The 23,457-nt window shown below is 42.3% G+C and overlaps 1 protein-coding gene across 3 annotated transcripts in view, besides 2 other annotated features; it reads right to left on the bottom strand.

Annotated features, from left to right (window-relative positions):
• The window catches only part of LMX1A (LIM homeobox transcription factor 1 alpha), a 154,849-nt gene that overhangs the window by 100,496 nt on the left and 30,896 nt on the right, over positions 1 to 23,457 (bottom strand). The gene's annotated exons all lie outside the window — the stretch shown is intronic.
• Positions 2,900 to 3,069: an enhancer, noted in NCBI's record as "experimental_852 CRE fragment used in MPRA reporter constructs". NCBI's record gives its function as "activates a minimal promoter by MPRAs in K562 erythroleukemia cells, with activity observed for the introgressed 1:165274584 or rs35980722 variant allele {active_cell/tissue: K562}" and the evidence as "EXISTENCE:reporter gene assay evidence [ECO:0000049][PMID:34662402]".
• Position 2,985: a transcriptional cis regulatory region, noted in NCBI's record as "Neanderthal adaptively introgressed variant 1:165274584 (GRCh37/hg19 assembly coordinates) or rs35980722 in the experimental_852 CRE". NCBI's record gives its function as "modulates activity of the experimental_852 enhancer by MPRAs in K562 erythroleukemia cells {active_cell/tissue: K562}" and the evidence as "EXISTENCE:reporter gene assay evidence [ECO:0000049][PMID:34662402]".

Here is a 23,457-nt window from a genome sequence, read left to right on the forward strand (position 1 = left end):
GAACCCAGGAGATGGAGGTTGCAGTAAGCCAAGATCACACCACTGTACTCCAGCCTGGGCAACAGAGTGAGACTCCATCAAAAAAAATAAAATAAAATAAAGGAAAAAAAAGAAAGAAAAGAAAAGAAAGCAGAGAATGTTCTGAGATGTGGCTGGTGATGCTGACATTGCTTCTGTTCAAAATCTTCCTCCTCACTCATTCACTACCCTTTGCAATGACGATCCATGTCCTTGCCTTCAGTTTCCACTTCTATCCATCAAAACCATCTGTGCCTAAACAATCACTTTTACTTCACCTGGCCATAATGAAGACGAATGACACAGCACTACCACTGAATTTTTGGTAAGGTCATTTTTATTGCTGTCTAATTGCTCAATGACCCTAGGACAATCATCCTTATGTTTCCTCCTCCTTAGAGAAAAGTGCCAGGGTTAGGTTTTTCTCTCTAGGTATGTGAGGAGGCTACCAGTTGCTAGAAATGTAGCCTCCTGTAACTCAGCATAGTTGATTTTCCTCCCAGCTTCTAGGAAGCTCAGAACTAGGTTTCATGTGCTTAACTGAAATGATCCCCTTAGCCTATGTTGTTTGGAACACTTCTTGCTCCACACTACTCCCTTCATTACTTTGCTGTTATTCTTCTATTCTTTTTACAATCATCTTATTATATCTTTGTCTTCATTATAAATTGCTTCAAATCTTCTTTGGAAGGATAGAGTATAAATAATCATAATGAAACACTCAAGACTTTTCAAGCTTTGAGGAGAAAGATAATGTATAATTTTCATGCATCTTGGTCCAAAACCAGGAATGTTGAGCTAGTGAGAACGCTCCTTGTGTGCCAAAATTACCACACAAAACAGTCAGAGAACTCCAAGATGCTCCTGAACCTTAAGGTAAATCTGGGACCTGCTCCCTGTGCTTCCACCATTCCATAGCCCACAGTGTTTCTGCTGCATTTATCCACAAAAGTGATCATCTCCTTTATGGCTCAGAAGTGGCATCTTACTTCTTCCCAATGTGCTGGGGGCTGGGAACGCTTCATGGTTGGCTGACCTTGTACCCACTCTGGTGCTTTGGGTTGTTCATTGATCCTCGTCAAAATTTACAAAAGCACAAGACAGATGAGAAGGGGGAAGTACATTCCTCAGCTGGAAGAGTGGCCAAGTAACCACAAACTGCTGGCCCTCCTGGGATTGTGCTGGTCACGGACTTGGCTTCGGCAGCCCAATGACTTGTTCCTCCAGACATCGCCTACGCCTGCAGTCAGTTATCCTTCACTCAGACCACCAGCCCTCTGGGTCCCAGGGACGCAAAGCATGATGGGAAGTAGGCGGGTACTGGACAGGAATGTAAAGGGCCAAGGTAAGACCAGGAAGGAAGCCACTTCCCCCAGAGTCAGCCTCCTGCTAGATCCTAAGACCCCTCTGCTCTAACAATTATTTTTCTAAACAGCCTCATTCCAAGCTGTGGAGGCTGGGGTGGACTTTAAAGCAGTAGGAACAGAGTATAAAGCTTTCCATATCTTCCACGCAGATATTATATCTAGTATATGGGTGGGATTACCCCACGCCAGAGATTGTTGTTTTCTTAAATTGCAAAGTTTATTACACCCTTCATCTAAGGTGCACAAACCCTGGGCCTGAGAAAGGAAAGGGTCACGGTGGTCACTACATTACACATTGGTTTAATCCTCAGTTCTACTGGTTCTACTGATCCTCAGTTCTGGAGGTGATCAGAATGGAGGTGGTGAAGCCAGGCTCCACTCTTTACTAATAGGGTAACCCTGGGAAAGTTACTTAACCTCTCCAGGCCTCGGTTTCCTCATCTATAAAGTGGGAACAATAATAGAGCCCATCTCATGGGATCAGAAAGCCCATGGTATGTGCCTGGCTTAGGGCAAGTGTCATATAAACTTTAGCCTCTCCCACCCCAAAAATATCTTGTCCTCCAAGATTGTAGTCCAGTCTCAGAAAGAAAAAGGAACTCAATAACCATGAGAGTTGGTTCAGGCTTCTCTCAATTATTTATATAAACAACACATTTCCTGTTTGGGGACTATGTCACCCAAGATATGCCACTTCTAAACTTGGTCATCAGGAGCATGCAGGACTGGTTTGGATATACAGTCAAAGATGAAAATCAGTTATGATTGGGTCTGCTCATTTCTACTTATTTCTACTCCCTCGACCCAGATAATTAAGAATTAACTGCACATGGTTAATGTTCTTATATAAACACAATGCAAATCTTACCATGTCATTCCCCTGCTTCAAGCTTTTCAAAGATCCCTAAACCCAAGTCCCTTCCATGATATCCAAGGATCTCCATGATCTGACCCTCGTTGCCCTTCCCTGCCTCATCACCTGCTAGTCCCTGTCTGGACCTTCATAATCTAGCAATGCTGAACTTCTTTTTTCTCCCTGGTGCCTGGCATCCTCTTCCTTGTCTGGTGCCTTTACTCAGATTGTCCCATCAGCCTGGAAAACTTCCCCTCTCCTCGTCTGCCAAATCTGCTCAGGCATCATCTCCTTCCAGACACCTGTCATGCACCTTCCCCCACCACCTGCCCCACAGCAGGCTGGGTGCATCTACCTCATGCTCCAGTTATAACCTGCACATTGTTTCATCACTCTACACTTACCACTTTGCATTATAAGGATCTCTATTCCTTGTCTCTTGGGCCCTCTAGAGAGTGCCCCCTCCCTGAGATCAAGGAGTGTGTCTGTCTCTCTTGCGTGTGTATGTCTGTGTGTCTCAGGTGCCCAGCACATAGTAGGTGCTAGTGAAAGGAAACACAGAAAGGAAGGTGAGAGACATGTGCAGTTGGACTAGTCAACAGGTAGCGGTAATTTAGCTAAATAGCACACTTCCCAGGTAATGGGGTCGATGGACTCGTCGACACATATTGCCACCCAGCAGTGGCAGGATCCTGGAGAAAGGGCCCCTCCACTGGAAATTTATGACTGAGCAAAGGGGAGAGGAAAGAGAGATGAAGGGAGACAAACTTATGACATATAACACCATCTGGGATGGAATGTTCTAGAAAGCAAGCGTGAGAGGGAACAAAGACATCAAGCAGAGAATCTTGAAGCTTAAGTATGAAAGGACCCAGTAGGCCAAATATCACATTTTAAAATAAACCTCTCCACTCAGGGCCAAAGCAAGAAGAGGGGCTAAGTATCATGAAGCAGAGGAGTCCCTACAACCACTGTCCTTTCTGACACAGCTCCTGGGCAGAGCTTAGCTAACTACACATTCCACAGTGAAAACGTCAAATTGGATATCCATCAGTTGCTCCAAAGAAACACAGAGATACAGAAATCTGACAAAAGTACTGGCAGTATCCAACTTGAATCTGGCTTCTTTTTATCTTTATTATTGGTCTCACTCATGGGCACACAGCCCACATTCACAGTTCTTTGAAAACCACAGCAGGTTAAGTACCAAGACTCCAGAGTTAGGGCCAATGAGATATGATATGGTGAGTGAGCCAAGGAGTGACCAACCAAGAGCCATAGCACATGCAAAACGAGCACAGCCCTGGTCCTGACATTCTGCACACACCTCCAGAGAATTTCCATCCATAGGAGCCCGGACCACAGGAGGAAGGACCAAGGAGAAGTACAATGCGTTACTAGCATGAACGTCATTTGTGAAAACCATGTCCCAGACGTGCGTACAGAAAAAGTCAGCTTTCTCATTGCCCAGCTCCTGTCTGAACCTGTATCCCTAAGCTCTCCCCACACTAAATTCATACCCACCCATCAGACATCCTTTACTCCTCCAACCTTCTTCCTCCCACCTGTTCATCTAGTCTCCAGAGCTCAGGTTAATGGAAATTGTAGATGTGTAACCTTGTGTGATATTTTAGATTATCACTTAATAAATAGTCACTCTCCTGTTGCCCCTCCCTTTGGATATAAATTTCCCTCTTCCACTTAGGTTGGGTTCACCATATGACTTGTTTGGGCAGTGGAATGTGAGTAAATGTGAGTGTGTGGTTTGGCTTCTGTCATTCTCCATGAGAACACATCTAAGTGGCTCTTGATCCAAAAAGAATGTGGAACAATACCTGGACCCCGCCTGAAGCCTGGGTAAGTCCAGGTGACCCATAGTCTGAAACAAAGTTGCCCCTGCCCACCCAGAGACCCAAGGGTGAGAATAAGTGTTTGGCTTTTTTAAGTCTTTAGTTCTAGGATGCTTTGTTATGCAACAGTCCTGTAGCTATAGCTAACCAATACACTCTCAGAAAAGCTCAACTTGATTGCTAGTTTGCTCTTTCTGTATTTTCCTGTATAACACAGTGATGGCTCCTTCCCAAATGTAGTCAGCACAGGATGGGCTCTGAATATCCCCAACAGCCTGTTGGTGGCACTCACACCACAATATATCCAGAATACACAGTGCCTGGTACCTCCCAGAGATGAGATGGCTAGTGGTTTGGCTGCCTCTGCCTGACTTCCCACCATCAGTAGGATTTCCACTCTCCAGTCCTTGTTGAAAGCTGTGTGCGCCATACCACCCTCCTCCGCCTCCCCCTGCCCAGGCAGCACATAGAGTGAAGCGGTCAGCAGGAGAGGGGCTCAGCCTGAGCTGCTGGCAGCAACTCTCCCCATGTCCTCTCGGGCAGAAGCCAGAGGCTGCGTCTGTGCATATGGGCAGTGGTAATGAGAATTCCCTGTGGCTTCATGCAAGGGAATCAGGCAGTGCAGGCAAAGCAGGCCAAACTTCCCTTCTTTTTCCAGAAATGACAGTGAAACAAATGGCAGGAAACTCTTTGTGCTGACCAATACAGGAAGGATTGCCAGGGCACAGCTCTAGAAGTGGGAAGAAAGTGAGAGGAAAGATAAAGGGAGAAAGAGAAAAAGAAAGTGGGAGCGCAACTACAACTTTAGTGTGAATCACTCTATATTACATCATTGGCCTTCACAGCTCTGTCCATCAAATATTACCAAATCCAGTTCCAGAAAGGCTTAAAACTTATAAATATTTGCTATCCAGAAAACATGGTTGATGACATTCCACAAGCATTCTGGATAGCCAAGGTGCCAGATAGGTAGAAAAAAATGAGCTGGTTTGAGTAAGCCCAAGGCCACAGTACAACTTGGGATAGTTCTTAGTTACAAAGGGGCCTATGCCACAGGCAGAATGAAGAAGAGCATCAGGATCCCCTCCCCAAGATTATGCTATGCCTAGAAGGGATTCTGGGAGGTGTGCAGTGCATACATGCTATACATATGTGCTGAGATTGTAGTAGATTCACTCCCATAACCTCCAACCCTCAATACCCTTACAACAGATCCATGTGAGTTTGCAACTAACCCCTACCCACGTCAGCTGGTCCTGGCATTCTGCACATACCTCCAGGGAATTTTCATCCATAGGAGCCTGGACCACAGGTAGAAGGACCAAGGAAAAGTACAATGAGTTATTAGCATGACCGTCACTTGACCATATGTATTTAGACTGGCATTTAGACTCAGAATTTAAATGAAAAACAGTTCCTGAACAACAACACATTTTAAATTTTAACTTTATTTTTAAAAAGACTGTGTGAAGGCCACCAACCATGGCTACAAATGCTCCTCCCCCTTCCTCCTTGGTTCCATAAATGTTGAGTCAGAACAATTTCAGGAGGTCAAGCAGCCAGAGAAGGGCTTCTGGAACTTGCTTGACAACATAAGAAGAAAAAAAGAAGGGAAGGAATCACACATTAAATAAATAGTTTTGAGGAAAAATCAGTCAATATTTTCATAAGGAAATTATTAGTCCAAGACTGAAAGAGATACACTGATGCTATCGTATTCAACATATCCACAGGACAGGAGGCTGGTCCCTGGACCACTGGGGAATACTCGCTGGACACCAAGGAACCACAGTTAGCCCTCTGAGAACCAGATGCCAGGGAGGAGAGCCGATAACACCTTCCATACAAGCTTTGTGGCCAAGTCACACCAGCCTTACTCAGGTTCCTCCAGTGCAAATGGAAATGGTAAGAATTGCAGCAAGAAACAGACAGAATCATTCTGAATTCAATAAGGCTCTATATACATTTTAGATACCATGTGTATGTGATTCCATGATTCTGCAAAGTGTCTGCTAAGAACTGAAGAAAGCAAAGTCCCTAAGGTAACATGATAGGAAAGACATTGAATCTCTTTAATATAATTTTTTAAAACAGTACTGAGCACGTACTTGGTGATTCGCACTTTCTCAAAGTTGTATCATTTAGTCCTCACAACGATTCTATAAAACAAACATTATAATCCCCACTTTACAGGCAAGAAAATTGAGGCTCTGAAAGATTAAGTGACTTGATTGGTCCCCTGGACTTGTGGCTTTTTACTCCCTTGCATTACATTCCACAGCTTGGGTCTATGTGAGTGTAATGAGTGACTTTTCCTGGGCCTATTAATTTAGAGACAGAATCTGTGCCAGTGCATCCACTCCCAGTCTCTGCCTCAGAAGACACTTGAGAAGTCATGTGTCATCTGGAGGGGTGATCTGCTCATCTTGAAAGCACCTCCCAGGTTAGCCAATGGGACCTGACACAATCCTGGGTTATTGGTCCTTCCCCCTCTGTTTTGTTGACCTGAATATTATTATAGATGATGCTAAGAAAGGCTCATGGGTGTCTCATATTCTATCTCCAGTCCCCTTTGGAAAGAAGAGATGCTTATGGAAAACCTCCCTTTCTGTCCTGAGTCAAGACATTCCTTGGGTGATTGGAGGGGAGCCCCCTCCCCGCCCTGCCACCATTTGGAAGTGATTACCACCGAGATACCCTGACAGAGTGAATGATGCTGAGGGCTCGCTCCTGGATGCTGAGCGAAGAGCTTGCTGCACGCTCCCCACCCCCAGCCCTTGGCACACGCTGCTACAGAGAGCCTGGAATCCCACTTGGATGCTGATTTCCAAGTCTTGCTTTCCATTTTCTGATACATGGGATCAACTTTAATAACAAAAACCTGGCAGGGAAGGCACCTCTGCCTAGCAAGAGCCCCCAGTGGCAAAACTGAGGAAGTCCTGGTGGGGGGCTGGAGGGCAGACTGTCAGCTCATTTGTTACCCTCCGCCAGAGACGCAAGGGCACCCTGTGACCTTCCCCCAGGCCTTCTGCCTCAAAGCCAACAACAGCAGCAACTGTCTATATAGTGGCTTCTTCTTTTCCTTGAGGAAGTCCCTCCCACCATCTCCAGCCAAGATCTGCCCAATCCTTCCTGTAGGTTCAGCTTGTGCTGTAGATTATTGGGGTAATTTGTACTCCCCACATGGCTCTCGGCAGCCTCTCCAAAAAGCAATGCAAAAACCACTGGGACCAGACGTTGCTGGATGCTCAAGAAGACCAGTGAACCACCCACCTTCCCCATGAACTTTGTGTCTGGAACTGAAGGCTTGTTGGTAAGCTGGTCTTGACAAGCCAAATCATAGCATCGCAACCTCTACAACAGTCACCACATTGTAAGGTGCCAGAGAGAGGATGTATTCCATCCCACTGCCTTCACGAGAAAAAAAATGAGAAAAATGCTCATCCACTTGTCCTGAACAGTCATTTCCTCAAAGATGTCTCATTAGATATTCCCAACAATCTTATGGCACAAATATTCTCCTCATTTTACAGATGAACAAAAGCCTCAGCTTTGTTATCCGATGCCCTACTGCCAATAAGTGGCAGTCACAATTTGAATCCCAGTATTATAACTAAAGGGCATAGCTCTCTGCTTCATTTCACAGAGTTTCAGTCTCTCTGAATTCTTGTCCACCACAGTGGCTTGATAGTTTTGTAAAGGCAGGGACATTTGACACCCCAACAAAATTCTTCCCAGCTCTATGCAGTATGAATTTGAATTCTTCATTAGTGATGGGTGACAAAATGATACTTCCTCTTTAACCCAGATTTGGTCTCTTTCCACCCTCCTAACTTTCTGTACCTTCCCTCCAAGCTCTTACCAGGCAGGAAGATTTGACAGGCTTCCAGTGATGAAATAAATGAGCAGGGTAAGGTGACAAAAAGCACCTTCTTTGTCTGTTTTCTTTGTGTTTTTAATAGAAACTCATCAGGTATAGTATTACAAAGTCAAAGTTGCCTCTATCAAAAGCCACAGGGCACTGAAGATAGAACAGTAAGTAAAAGTGAGTTATCATGCATAGCTAGCCATCATTATACCCCCTGACGAAACTGGAAGCCAAGCCAATCTGGCTCTCTGTGCAGTATGAGCAACCAACAGAAGGCTCATGCATCCAATGGGGTGGAGATGCAGATGTTGCCTAGGCACTGTTATTCTCCCCGTTTCCTTCTCCACACTCCTTTATTTTGGGCATCGCTTCATGTTAGTGAATGATCCTGGTTTATTTGAGGTGTGGGTACTGAGGGCTGCTGGAAAGTAATTACCACTGAAAGTCAAACCACAAGTGAGGAGAGCTCAACTCTGCTTTCATCTGCATTGCTCAGGCATTTGCAATACAGAGGGAATGCGATGCGGACAAGGACTTGAGAAAGTATGTTGTATTTGATTATGATTCCCGGAATAATCTTGGATAAATGTGATCATCCACAGGACAATTAAAGAACTTTATATGCAAAAGTTACCATTATGACAATATTCACCATGATGTCCCCCAGATCTGGGAGTCTATTTCTATTTTGACTTTCCCACTTCTTTAAGTTCTAATGTTCAAGAAGTTTAAGGCTTATCTGCAATCTCATCCACAGATGTAATGGAATTCCGAGAACTAAGTATTTCAATCAACAGGATTTACATTTTTTCTTCCGCCAGGGCCCCTTGCTCTTCCCTAGAAATGCCTGACTGGAATTGGAGTGATCAGAATAAACTGCATTATTCATCAGAGATTTTCAAAATAATGGGCCCAAAGGGCTGAAGTGATAAATACTTTATTGGAGGTTCCTAATTATATGAAAAATGATCTCCCATCTGTAAAAAGAATCTTAGGCCCAGTTATCCTTGGACCACATTCCCAGCTTTATGTGGGTTTGTGTGACAAGAAGCCTCCTCTCAACTGGATAGTGAAATCATCAGAAGTTCCCAAGCCCATTCTACTTCCACTGAAGGGATGACACGACAGGAGTGGCCTGCCCCTCAGAACCCCAGGTACTGCAGCTGTCGGCTGTGGAGGCCCAGCTCACTGGTTGGCTCTTAACACCCTCATGCCCCTGAAGCTACTGCATGGACATGCCTGAAGATAGGCATACCATACCAAGGGCCACACACTCCAAACTTTGAAGACCAACAGCCTCCTTCCCAGAATTGTCATCAAAGGTTAAGGGATGTCACCCTGAGTTAGGCAACCTCTAAACTGTAGCCCCAGCTTTGAAAGAGAAAGAGAAGGGTTTGTTTGCCCCAGAGGCTCCTGGAAAAGCAAGCTCTTCAGGCTTCTCCTGCACAAAGGCATTCAAGATCTTTGAAGGATGATGGGGCAAATTTTTGCTATAAGGCCCAATTCCCTCAGAGCATCTCAGAGGGCACTGATGTGTGATGTGCCGTTCACGATGGCTGAGAGCTCCTCAAAAGCCTTCAGTCTTAACTCGCAGCTTTGCAGTGACCCAAAACAGAACTCCTAGTGCCACCATGGCCATTCTAGCAGATGGTCCTGAGCTACCCACTCTGCCTCTAGAGGAGCAAGAGGCAACCACGTACTGTTATATCCTCATATTCTTTATTCAACTCTGACAAATGATAATTGCTTCTGCTTTTAATGATTTGGATGTTTTCCTTTGTTTTCAAATGCCTGGACTCTATTTTAGCAGTTCTAAAAAAGTACTGGAATTTCTCCCTTATTATTATTCTAATGGGCTTTGAGGTTGAAAACCAGGGCCATGAGAACAAGGAAGAGTTATTGCTGTGTATTAGATTAGCAAAAGAGCAGTATGGTATGATAGGCACAGTACAGTCTGGGAAATCAGGAGCTTATGAGCTCTAAGTCCAGCTCTGCCCCTATTTGCTGTTGCTCTGAGAAAATTTCATTGTGCTGTTACTTTTAGTTTTTTTATACATAAAACAGGTATGCTTATCCAGATTAAAGACATCTGGTTATAAATTATTTGACTGTCTTCCCACCAAGAACTGGGACAATTTCCCCCTCCATGAGTCTAGCTGGGCTCTATGACAGGGGAAGTCACACTGTGCCAGTTTCCCAGCCCAGGTTTTAAGAGATTGGTAGGTTCCACTTCCTGTCTCTTGGATTGTTCATGCTTGGAATCCAGCCACTATGCTGTAAGGAAGCCCAAGCAACTCTATGTAGAGGCTCAGATGGAGAGGAAATAAGATCCCCTAGCCAACATCCCCAGCCGAGCTCCCAGGCAAGAGCCAGGACCAACTTAATGGCCCCATGTGTGAGCCATCCTGGAAACAGATCCTCCATCCCCAGCTGGTCCGCCTGCAGCAGACACTGTACCAAACAACAACAAACCATCCTTGCTGAGCCCTACCCTACTGCAGATTCATTAGCAAAATAAATGGTGGCTGTTGTTTCCAGTTGCTAAATTTTGGCTTGGTTTGTTATGTGCCAATGAATGATAGGAATTTATATTTAGACTTCAGTGGAAGAAAATGGAATGGAACCAAATATAAAGGAATTATCTTTTTCAATTATACCTCTCTAGCTCACACAAAGAGACTGAATATCAGAGGGAAAAAAAAGTCCCCTGAAGAAGTGGCATTCTTGTCTAATGACCTTATATCCTCATCATTGACAGAGGTTTAGTCATGCTCAACTTATGCCAATTGGAAACAATATAGAGTCTACAGGTAAGTTCATCCCAGCAGGATCAGCATAATTTATGGGGCCCAGTGGTGAAGTGAAAATGCAGAGTTCCATGTTGAAAAATTAATAATTATATATAAAAGTATAAATGATTTCAAGAGGGAGCAGCAGATGATTAAACCAAGAAGCTGCCCTGCATCCCAGCTTAATGGCCTAGCTGATCTGATCCATATCATAGAAACACATATCCTAAACCCTAGATGCCCATCTCCTCCACTCCTTACCTGATATTTCATTTAGAAAAAGCCAAAATCTGCCTGGTGTCATGAACCATTCTTTAAAATGATCAACCAACTTCTTCATACTTAGTCACACACACCTTCTTCCTTTTTTTTTTTTTTTTTTTTTGTTGTTGTTGTTGTTATTGGGGTCAGGGTTGGATAATAGAGAAGAGTTTTTTTAAAGGTGTGGGCAGGGCTTAAGGAAAGCAACAAAAAATGGTATGGAATCCCAGGCTGGAAACTTCAGGGAGCTATTGCCAGCCCTAGGCCTGAAGGGAGCAGTTACCAGAGCCCACGAAGGAGCTGGGGGAATAAATTCCCAGCTCATTTCCCTTCTGCCTTCAGCTCTTCTGCCAGTGCCTCTTGCTGGTCAAACCAAGAGAGGCCAGAGGACAGATGAGTTCACTGAGGCATGGCATACAAGCCAGTCTCATAGGAGCATACATGAAAGCTAAGGTATTTTTAAGAAAGCTAGAAAAGCCCTCTTCAGAAAAACTCAACATTTTCTCACTTATCCCTGCAGGTAACAACAACAACAAAAACAGCATCACAGGAGGAACCCCTTGGCTGACATTTCCCAAACTGCTTTCAGAAATCAGGGCTGAGCTCGGTAGCTGAGGTAATGAAGGCAGTGAGTGGTTATGCTAGAGATGGCAGGGGCCAGCCCTCACCCCACAGCTATGGGAAGGAGTGTTAACAACAGAGAGAGGCAACCAAGCCAGCTCCCTAAGCCAGGCAGCAAATAACTCCACAAGCTCACACCTCCTTGAGAAATAACTGCTGTCTCAGCCATTTGTATGGAACATTCCTAAGGGTGGCAGCGGTTGGGGGAGTGACAGCGTGAGGACAGTCGCCACATGTGCAATAGCTGAGCTCTAGAACAAAGCAGAGAGCATGGCAAAGGGGGCCTAAGAACATCCCCCTACCCTCCTGGAACCAGCCTCTATGAATGCAGCATCCCAGATGCTTCAAAAAGGGCTAAAGCAACTTCACCTTTATGCTTGCATCTTAAGTGCAGGGTGCTCCCAGGTCAGTGGTAGCATTTTCACAAGTCACCCTTTTCTGCCTTTAAGATCTGACAGGAGACAGGGTGCAGTAGCTCTAATGTTAGATCAGTCCCCTTTCTAGCTGGTCCCCCATCTTATTGACCTTTTTCCTTCTTTAGGTCTTAGCTTTGTCTTTCTTCATTTTGTTTCTTCTAGTTTTTTCTCTACCCTTTCAAAACTGTAATTTCTTCCAATATCTTTTTTTTTATTACCTCTCATTCTGTAGATCCCATCCCTTTTCTCTTTTTTTAGTCTCTCAGGGCTTGAACGAAGAGAGAACACAGATGTTCAGGGTCTCCACATCCACAAGATTTCTAGGGTCCAGCATCTCTCTTTAAGCAAAACTAGCAGTTTCTGTTTTCTACAGTAGCCAGCATGTTGTCTTTACTCATACTAAGCACCCAATAATTATTAGAATTATCTGAGTAATGAGGGCATAACTAGCAGATAGTGGCGGATGGCTTCCACTTGGCATCAGATGGAGCACAGCAATCACAGGCAGCCCCACTTCATCCCAGGCAGAAGCCCTGAACACCAACACCCCAGAGGCTCCTACTAGACTGGTGACATACTTCCTTCTCTTGCTTCCCAGACCCTAGGTTAGGTGACTGATCAGATACCTATACAAGACAGGACAGTCTGGAGTTGCACTGCTTGTCTCTCTTGACATGTTCAGCAAGGCACGTCTTATCAATTAATTCTCTCATTAGGGCTGTTCTCTATCTTCATCTTTCCCTTTCATTCTGTTCTCTACCCCTCCCTGTTTAGTGAAAGTCTTTCTAGTAAGTCACAACTTTTATGTTTATGAAGGGGATGTCCCCACGAACCACATCTACAACTCCCCTCTGGCCACTCCCTCCTTTGGGCTGATTCCAGCCACCTTCCTAAACTCCCCTCTCCCAACATCCACACTAACGAAAGAATATTCAGGAAAAGCCCTACTTCCTTTCATCTCTACCCATTCCAACCTTGGTTTAAAGCCCCCCAGGCCCAGCACATCAGCACAGGAACTTCGGAAATCTTAACTATAGCTTTGTACTTTGAATACTGGCTTTGAAGTATGTGCTAACAGCTGTAATTGGCATTATGGAAGAAGGTTAAAATAAATTACTTGTAGCTAAGGAGCCAGCAAAGTGGAAATTATCCAAGTCATGTTGTATTTGGTCCGTAATCCAACACTGTAAAACTAAATCCTTGTCACCCTGACTCCTTGTTAGGCTGAAGTACAACACAGCATTTCACAATCCCACACTGTGTCTGACAGCCTTGAGATCTGGCCCCCTCTACCCCCAGGAAAAACCTCAAAACCATCAAGGAGGCACCATGCGGTTTCAGAGAGTCCCATCCACCCCTGACACATGTGACGCATCAAATACCTCTGCCTCTCTCCTAGAACCTTGACTTCAGCAGCTGAGAGTTGATCCTCACCAGGGTTCTGCCTACAAAAACATTCAAGGAACACCTCTCTCAGCAGTACTGATTTTAAATCAGGGGTTCTGAAAATTGGAAATCTTAAAGACGCAAAGGGCTTCTTCTTTCTGGTAGGATTTCAGATCCTGTCATGGGAGGCAGATGTGCACTGGTCAAGTAAGGACCTACTGGACGTCTCTTATAATAGAGTGCCAAAGTCAAGGTCAGGTGATGGGTGCATAGACACCCCCTCACCCACAGTCTGTCCATGGGACATGGTATGCAGGGGACATTTTATTTTTTGACAGGAGTAAGGTTTTTCTTTCTTGGTTGGGTAGCTGCCTTGGTGACATTCTGTCTTTATGTATGTGCATGTGTATGTTGTGTGAGACACAGTGCACACAGGCATGAAGGACAGACAGGTGGACACTGGGCAGCATCTGTCCCCTTCCCAGCCCCATGAACACATGCTGAGAGCTTACCACGGGGAGATGGGGAGGGCAGAGCAGAGAGGCCTGGGAGCACAGCGTTGCTGCTTCAGGGCCCAGGGACAGAGCAAAACGCCCAGCTGCCTATGGAACCAGCACCACGGTCACTTTGAGGACTGGAGGTCCTGGGGGCACTGATACCACCTGCTCCTTGGTCCCTACACTAGCAACCTCATGATGGGCACCCTTGGCAGTAAGACTTATGACTCCCTCAAGCTGCTTCACAAGCAGAGAATACTGCAGGGAGGCGCTGGGCAGGAAAAACTGGGGCTTCCCGGCTGGTACTGAGACATACGCACAAGTGCTTTGTCGGGGAGGTGGCTGGAGCCATAGGAGAAATCTTTAAAGTTAACATGCCCTCATTTTCATCCACATCCAGGCGGTTTCCCAGGGGCATCCGAGTTACACACAGGAGGCTGGCCATGGAGGCAGATGTACTTGTACTTTTACAGCACAAGACAAAAATGGCAGATGAGGAGGAGTTGGAAAGAAGCCCAGCAGCCCTGTTGCAGCAACACCTCCCCATCCGGATCCCACAGGGCACTCGGGCCCGGGCAAAGCTGCCTCCCTAAACAGGATTGAGGCTTCCCTTCCCTTTGAGACATGTACATTTTCTGATCAGGATCCAGTTCAGTGAGAATGAGTTTAGAAAACCTAGAAGGAAAAAGAAAAAAACCCAAAAGATAGGATTATTTACGGAACTGATACTTGTAAATGGCTTGAGAAGAAAGTAAACTCTCCTTCATACATTTCTGAACCCCCTCCATCATCACCACAATACCCAGCATGTCCATCATATACAGTGAGCCCTCAGCCCATGTTCATTACTCTGCTTATCTGAGGGGTGCTCTGAATTTGTGGAACCCACTCAGAACAAGGAGAGTAGAGAGGTGAAACCCCAATAGTTCCAAGTCTAGTTTATTTTTAAGCCCATAGAAATGCAACTATCCATAGATAGAATTAATACATATGCTCCAATGATTCCAACTATGGGATACATGGGAAATACCTGAATATTTTTACAGGGAAAATTATAAAGGAGGCAGCAGGATGAATAAATTGCATTCTAGATTTACCCTTCTCTTTGTATTAGTTAGGATTTTGGACTTCAGAATAAGGTGAAATTGAAATGTACATATTAATACAAAATAACTACAGTATTAAAAAGTAGAGGCAGAGCATGCATGCACACCAAGGCATTTCAGATGTGTCAGCCAGGGCTCTTACCACACGGGGAAAAAATAAAGCCATTCTGGGAACCACTGGGACACAGGTCCAGCCCCCAAATGTGAAGCCTGATAATAGAAGAGGACAAAATCCTTTTGAGTGGGGCTCCAGGCCCAGAAGATTTCTGCAAACTATTATCTAATTTGATTCCCCTCATTGCATTACAGGAGGATTTAAAACACATCACCTCCAGCTGAAATGGGTTCTGGTAAATTTCTTGAGAGCTCTCACCGATCTCACGTCATCCTCTGGGTTCAGGGTCAACGCTACATTAATGACCCACCATTTATCCTCTGCGTAATTCATTCCCTGGCAACCTATTTTATTTATGCTGTATAAATTCAGGAAGCAATTAATAGTTGCCACAAAAGCAACATGATTCAGGGTGCTTTTCTCAACAAAACTTCAGAGCACGGCACTTCTCATGCCCCAAGGCAGGGAAGGGAAGCAAAGCTGACTGAGGAAAAGCACTAAATCATTTCGCTTCATGTTCTATCCTCCTTCTGCCCCTGGTTGGAGAGAGGCTGAGGTAACTTTCTGGCTTTTTCTCTTAGCACTTTCTTTTCCCCTTTCAAAAAGAAATCATTCCTGTTGCTGACAGCTGTCCATGCTACCTTTTTTGGTATCCTGTTTACCTTATGGTTCTGTTCAGGCAAAAGTAATTTAATAATAACACCATAAAAATCATGAGGAAAGAGCAGTTTACTAATTAACCAAAAACAAATTATCCCAATGCAGAAAAGAAATGAAAATCGGAGTCCTTCCAGGATTTGACTTTATCTGCACTCCACAAGCATCCTCCCAGGTAGCTGAGACAGATATCAGCCAAAGAACGGAGAGGTGACTTGTTCATGTTGGCAGAGGGTCAAAAGAGAAGTCAGAATTCAAACAATCTGCTGGCTTCAGGTTCAGAGCATTTGTTAAGGCATTATATAATTTTTTTTTCTCTGAGGACTCCAAGCCATTTGCTCGTAAGCTGTGGTAGATGCTGTGGATTGGTTAACCCAGCTCACATCCTCAGGCCCCTTCTCCCAGACAATTTTACTGTTAAGAGCTGCCCATTTGACTCAATGAGATGTAAGTGGAAGCCCCTGGGTGGCTTCCAAGACTGCTTTTTAAAGGAGACAAGACCCAGCTAGTGTGATTCTTTGGCCTTTTACCCTTCACCTTTTGGCCCTACACTCTTCTTGCCTGGAATGTGATTACAAAGCTCCAGCTGCAGTCTTCCTGTGGCCCTGAGAATAAAGACCTATGTGCTAAAGAGATGGAAAGGAAAAATATAGAAAGGGCCTGGATTGCTGATGGCATCGATGAGCCACCATACCATCTCTGTACTGCCTATCCTCAGAATCTTGTAACGTGGAAGAAACAAACTTACCTCCTGGTTAAGCCCGGGTTAATTAGGTTTTCTGTTATCTGAAGCTGAAAGTATTGCAGCTGAGATCTCCTCTCTCTCTCTCTCTCACACACACACACACACACACACACACACACACACACACACACCCCAACTTCTTAGTAGGAACTAGACATTCCTTAACATGATAAAGAATGGCAATCTTAAACCTACAGCCAACATTATATTTTAATCAGTTGAAAGACATTCATTTTCCCTTAAAATCCAGGAGAAAGACAAGAATGCTCCATATTACCTCTACTATTTAAATACTTAAGAAGTTCTGTCTTAAAAAATAGATAAATACATAGAGATACAACTGCTGGAAAGAATAAGATAAAATAGTTATGATGTGCAAATGAATAAACCCAAGAGAATAAAGGAAAGGCTTACAAGTATAGATTTATTAAAGTATAAGAGACACAAGACAATATATAAAAACTAAAAACACTTCTATGTTGCTAGTAACAAGCAAAATTTAAAACAGAGAAATCGAACCTTTAAAAATGTTAATATGCTTTATGCTATAATCCTCCCTCCAGTAATCTAAGGAAAAATCCAAGATATGATAAATAAATATATAATAAATATGTATTATCAGGAAGGCCACCTAAGTGTCAGCAACATCATAAGTAGGTAAACAAATTATTCTATGACTTAAGTTCGATAATATTAAAACCATATTCTCAAAGACTAATGACATGAGAAAACATTAACAATATAATGTTAAATGAAAATAGATGTTTATAAGACTGTACACATCATATAAATAGGCAAAAGGCAGACAGACAGGCAGACACACAAACACACACACGAATAATGGGGGAGGGGAAAATACTAGAAAGAAATACACCAAAATACTAAGAAGGTAATCTGTAAATAGTGGGATCATAGATTATTTTCATTTCTTTATATTTTTAATATTTTCCAAATATTCTCTACTAAGCATTTACTTAGCTTGTAATTCAGTGTCTCTGACCATTACAACATGGTAACTCTCAATCACATGGACCACCAGCTTTGTCAGGGTTATAGTTCTGCATAACAACCACTAAGACAGCACAACCTCTACCTCCACCTAGATTTTTTTTTCTTTATAGGGTAGTAAGGAACATTTGTTTTCTCCCTAGTGAAGAAGTAAAAATGCTTCTTTTATAAACACTAGAAACTCCTTTTACAAACACTTAAGAAAACTGGAATAGAAAATTGGGATCTTTTGATAAGTGTCTGTTCATGTCCTTTGTCCTTTGGTTTTCTAGGGGCTGACATTAAGTTAACAGGCAGTACTACTGATAAATATCTCATAACCTGGACTACTCAACCCAAGAAGTGCTGAATACAGTGAGGATGGCTAACACCCACACCATAGAGAGCGTGCCACAAAGAAGTCAATGTCTTTGGTTTGCTGAGGTCTCGAGCCCACCCCAATGTGATTGTTAGCTAAGACACTAAGCACAAATTAAATGTAGAGACTGAAATGTGTTTTTCCCCTAAAAATTAAGAGTCAGGATGTGAGTCTTGAAGGATATTCTGCAAGGCAGAAGGAAGAATGAGAGAAAAGAAGAGACTGTGTCTGCATTAAGCTTTGGTCACTGGCCATATGGGTCTTCTCAAGGGCAGAGCACCAGTACTCTAGTAGGGGGCTCCACAGAGTCATCTCAAACCTAAAAGAGACGTTCATACATTCAGCAGAAACTTCAGAGGAATCCCTAAGATCAAATGTGTACCCTGTGAAGTATTAATATTTGCCTGGTCTTGCTCATTGCATATCTTTCTAAATAGGATTGTCATCACAAGTAACCCAGCTTTTCTGGGATGCTAGGAGTATTGCCTAGAGATAAGGCCATCCACCTAAGAGGGAAGCCGGTAGTTTTAGCTGCCTGAATAGTAATTCCATGTGATAAGTCAGATACATTGTAAGAAAAGATAAAGGTAGAAAGCAATGACAAAATGCCATGTAGTATTACACAAAAGCTAAACATTATGTCCATACTAAAACTTCTACATAAATGTTTATAGTAGCATTACTCATAGTAGCCAAAAAAAGTTAAAACAACCCAAATATCTACCAACAGCTGAATGATAAACAAAATGTGGTACATCCATACAATCAAATACTACTCATCCATAAAAAAGAATGCAGTACTGATACGTGCTACACATGGACGAACCCTAAAAACATTATGCTGAGTAAAAGAAGTCAAATACAAAAGACCTCACGCTGTATGATTTCATTTATGTGAAATGTCCACAATAGGCAAATCCATAGAAACAGAAAGTAGACTAATGGTTGCCAAGGGCTGGGGAGTTATGGATAGGTAGTTACTGCTAATGGATACAGAGTTTCTTTGGAGGGTGATGACAGCATTCTAAAATGATAGTGAAAATAGGGGTGACAGTTGCACAACTCTGTGAACATACTAAAAAACCACTGAGTTGTACAATTCACTTCAAAGAGTGAATTTTATGGTATGTCAATTATATCTCAATAAAACTACTACTAAAAAAATAAACATATGTTTTGATTCCTCTCTCCTCTGCAATAGCTTCCTTGTTTTTCTCTCAGTTTTTCTGTTTCACTCTAAAGATAACGCCAGAATAATCTTCCTAATACTGCCATCAAATAATTTCTACGGTCAAGAACCCACCATGCCTTACCTCACACCATATAAAACATCAACACAAAATGGACCAAAGACCTAATTGCAAGGGCAAAAACTATAAAACTCTTACTAGAAAATATAGAGATAAATTTTTATGACTTGGCAATGGCTTCTTGGATATAACAACAAAAGCACAATCAACAAAAGAAAAAATAAATCATTTGACTTTACCAAAATTGAAAACTTTTCTGCATCGAAAGACACAATCAAGAAAATGAAAAGACAACCCACAGAATAGGAGAAAATATTTGCAAATCATATAACATATACAGGTCTAGTATCTAGGATATATAAAGAGTGCAACCTGCAGAATGGGAGAAAATATTTGCAAATCATATATAAGAGTCTAATATCCGGAATATATAGAGTGCTAAACAATTCAACAACAAAAAGACAAACACAACTTTAAAATGGGCAAAGGACTTAAATAGACATTGTTCCAGAAATAGCAAACAAATGGCTAATAAACATATGAAAATATGCTCAACATCATTAGTCTTTAGGGAAATGCAAATCAAAACCAGAATGAGATACCACTTTATACCTACTAGGATGGCCATAATATAAAAATGAAAAATAATGAGTGTTGGTGAGGATATGGAGAAATTGTAACCCTCATATATTGCTGGTGGGAAGAAAAATGGTACATCTGCTGTGGAAAACAGTTTGACAGTTCCTCAAAAACTTAAACATAGAATTGTCATGTGACCAAGCAATTCCACACCTAGGCACAGGCCCAAGCGAACTGAAAATAGGTGTTCAAACAAAGCTTGTACAAAATCTTCATAGCAGCATTGATTCACAATAGTCAAAAGGTAGAAACAACCCAAATGTCTACCAAATGATGAATGATATGCCAAATGTGGTGTGTATATATACGGTGGAATATTACTTACCCATAAAAAGGAACGTAGTACTGATACATGCTCCAGCATGGATGAACCTCAAAAATCTTATGCTAAGTGAGAGAAGCCAGACATAAAAGGCCACATACTGTATGATTTATTTTATATGAAATATCCAGAATAGGCAAATTTATAAAGATAGAAAACCAAGTAGGGGCTCTGGTAAAGGAAGAAAGGGGGCTGTCTGCTTAATGGGCACAGAGTTTCTTTCAGGGATGATGGAAATATTCTGGAATTAGATAATGGTTGCACAAAATTGTGAATTTACTAAAAGCCACTGAATTATACACTTTACAATTTTATATGACTTTTATCTCAATAAACAGAAAAAAAATTACCCACTATGGTTCCTTAACACCTAGACTTTGAAAGCACTTCTTCAATTATTCCTATCCCTTTCTTTTCTGACTTTTCCATTCCTTTTTATTCATGTCCTAATTCAGTACACCAGTGCTGTGCCCCTTAGATCAGAACACAATTTGCTGATTCCAAACTCTATTTCCTCAAATGCTATTTTCTTCACCTGGAATACCTCCCTTACTCCCCTACCATGTAAAAAATCTCAGAATCAAAAGGGCCAGAATGTAATTCCAGATCACTACTTACTGTCTTACCTTGAGCAAGTCAACTTTTCCAAGCCTCATTTCTTTACGTGTAAAATGAGTAGTCAAATTTCAATTAATAAATATATGTATCAAAATTCTGCTTTGTTCTAGAGTAATATTACCTGCCCAGCCCACTATACAGGTCAGTTAACCATACAAAATATACAGAAATGCTTCATGAATTATAAAGCACCAAATCTATGTAAGGTCATAATATAATCTATGCCACTGTTTCCCAAGCTTCAGGAATTTTCATATCACAAAAGTGGTGTATGCCAAGTCTCACCACCATAAAATTATAACTTAACATTTGTAATCAACTCACTCATTTTACTTAAACAGATTCATTTTAAAATAGAAAGCTTATATCACTGCCATGACATCATTGGTTTCATGTTATAATGTTTCTATACATGTTAAAAATAAAGACACTACCATAACAATATAAAATGCGTACCCAGATGCCACGTAAAGTCACCTTCTGTACCATCTCTAGCAGCACACATGGTAAACACTGATCTCTGCAAACTGCCTTTTTAAAGATCTGAATCCAAATTTACCTACTCTAGAAAACCTCCCCCTCCCTTGATCTACTTTTCATCCCATTTTAGGACTTCTTTGCTCCTTCATGATAAGTCCTTGCGTGTTTAATTTATACCCCATCACTTTTGTGTGTTTTAACTTCACTGTTCTCAATACTTTCACATCTGTGCTTTTTCTTCTGTACTAGATTGTAAAATACCAAAGGCAAAGACTTTGACTTGTTTCTTTTAGTTCCTCCCATAGGCCCAACTACAGCACAAAAACATTTACTGAATGGATAAAAGGTTGACTGGATGTTAATTGTCTACTAAATGCTTGTAGTTAACCTATCATCTCATTTCTAAAGATAGAGCAAAATTAACCCACATCACTTCCTACTCTATATGTAGCTACACTAATAGCCTAATACAGATACCAATCCATGAGAAAGGTGAAAATAAGACTCATGCCTGGCACATCGCAGGCATTCAGTCGATTCTGTGGAATGGATGTTGAATAAGTGAGATGATTACTTAGCAGTGCCTGCTTTTTCAGACAGACCACCTGCAGAAGGTGAGGGGCACAGACTAGTCAGCGTGTGAAAACTAACGCCCACCTAGGGCTGAACATCCGAGCTGTGAGCAGCTGAACTCAGGGCTCTGGTCAAAACCACCTTCCACCAGCCCAAGTGCAGCTCTACCCTGATGAGGGGCTCAGTCCTCAGCTTGCTACTCTACTAATTAGAAGTAAATCTCTATAATACAGGAGAGCCTTTGAGTGTCCACAGTGCATTTTGGCCATGAGTCTCAAAGCAGTGACAAAAGAAGCTGTGAGTGAAATTACTGATTGAATACATCGAGACCCAGAGCAATCCTTGTGTCAATGTTGACAGACCAGCTCTTTATCATCCAGCTCCAGGAGGACAAACGTAAAGCAAAACCACCAGAGATATAGGGAGAAAAGGAATGTTTGCAACTACAGGACCATGGAGTTTTGGATTAATAAAATAATAAATATTAATAACAACATGAATTGTTTTTAATCCTAAAGGAGCATAGCTCTTTACAGTCTACAAAGTGTTACTCAAATTTCATTATCCCATATGATCTTTATACCAGCCTTATCAGAGAAATAATTTGCCCATTTTTACAAATGAAGAAACTGAGGTTCAAAGGGCATCTTAAGCCCAGGTTTTCTGACTCCAAATACAGTGCTCTTTTGATCTCAGCATCATTTAGTTAAGCCAGCTTTCTTCTTTGTGCTGAAACATAGTAAGTAAATGTTTAATATAAGAAGATTCTAGAATGCCTTCTATACCAATGTTATAACAAAGATTCACTCCAAGTTTAAAGCACTGCTACAAAGTCTTCCTTATGTGAGCTAAATGTCTCTCCAGGGAGCCCCTGCCACTCCTTAGCCCCCAGATGACCACCACATCATCATCTCTAAAACCCTCCAAAGGCTACTGCACAGACCCTAAAAGAAACTCAAGCAAACTCTACCTACTAGATTCTTAATCACAACATCATCATGTTGGTCTCAAAACAAGACCCTGCTCCTCACCATAATTCTCGTTAGAAGATCTCTATCTGGCCTCCCAGACTTGTATAATCAGTTTGTTCCCCTTACTTACTCTTGGATTATCTGTACTAGTGAATAACTGGAGAAACAGAACTATACATTCTAATTAAACCATTCTATTGTTTTTATTTTTTTCCTTTTGTGTATTTTGTACCAATGATAACTAGATGAGGATAGTATAATTCCTTTCCTTCATTGTTCAATTTAGATCACTATTTAAAAATATATATGTATATGTATATGTATATACATATGTGTGTGTGTGTGTGTGTATACATTCTTTCCAACACTGTCTTTTCACAAGCTATCCAGTGCCCCCAAGATGAGGATTATCTATGACAGCCCCACAGTCCTTGGATGAGAGAGAACAGAGCATCCTCTTCTCAGTTAATTACCATTTCTTGCCTGTGCATTTGATTTCAATAAAGTCTCTCTAATTACTTCAAATATCACCGTGCCTCCCCCCTCCCTCTCTCCTGTGCCCCTCTTTCTCTTTGAGAGCGTGAGACTGATGAACTCAAACACCAGCAAGCCTCAGGCATATGCTGCAACGAGCAAAGACTTCTCAAAGTTAATAAGCCAGGAGAGTTAATAAACCAGACTTCCCAAAG

This window comes from Homo sapiens, chromosome 1 (genome assembly GCF_000001405.40).
Source record: "Homo sapiens chromosome 1, GRCh38.p14 Primary Assembly".
NCBI classification, from domain to species: Eukaryota; Metazoa; Chordata; class Mammalia; order Primates; family Hominidae; genus Homo; species Homo sapiens.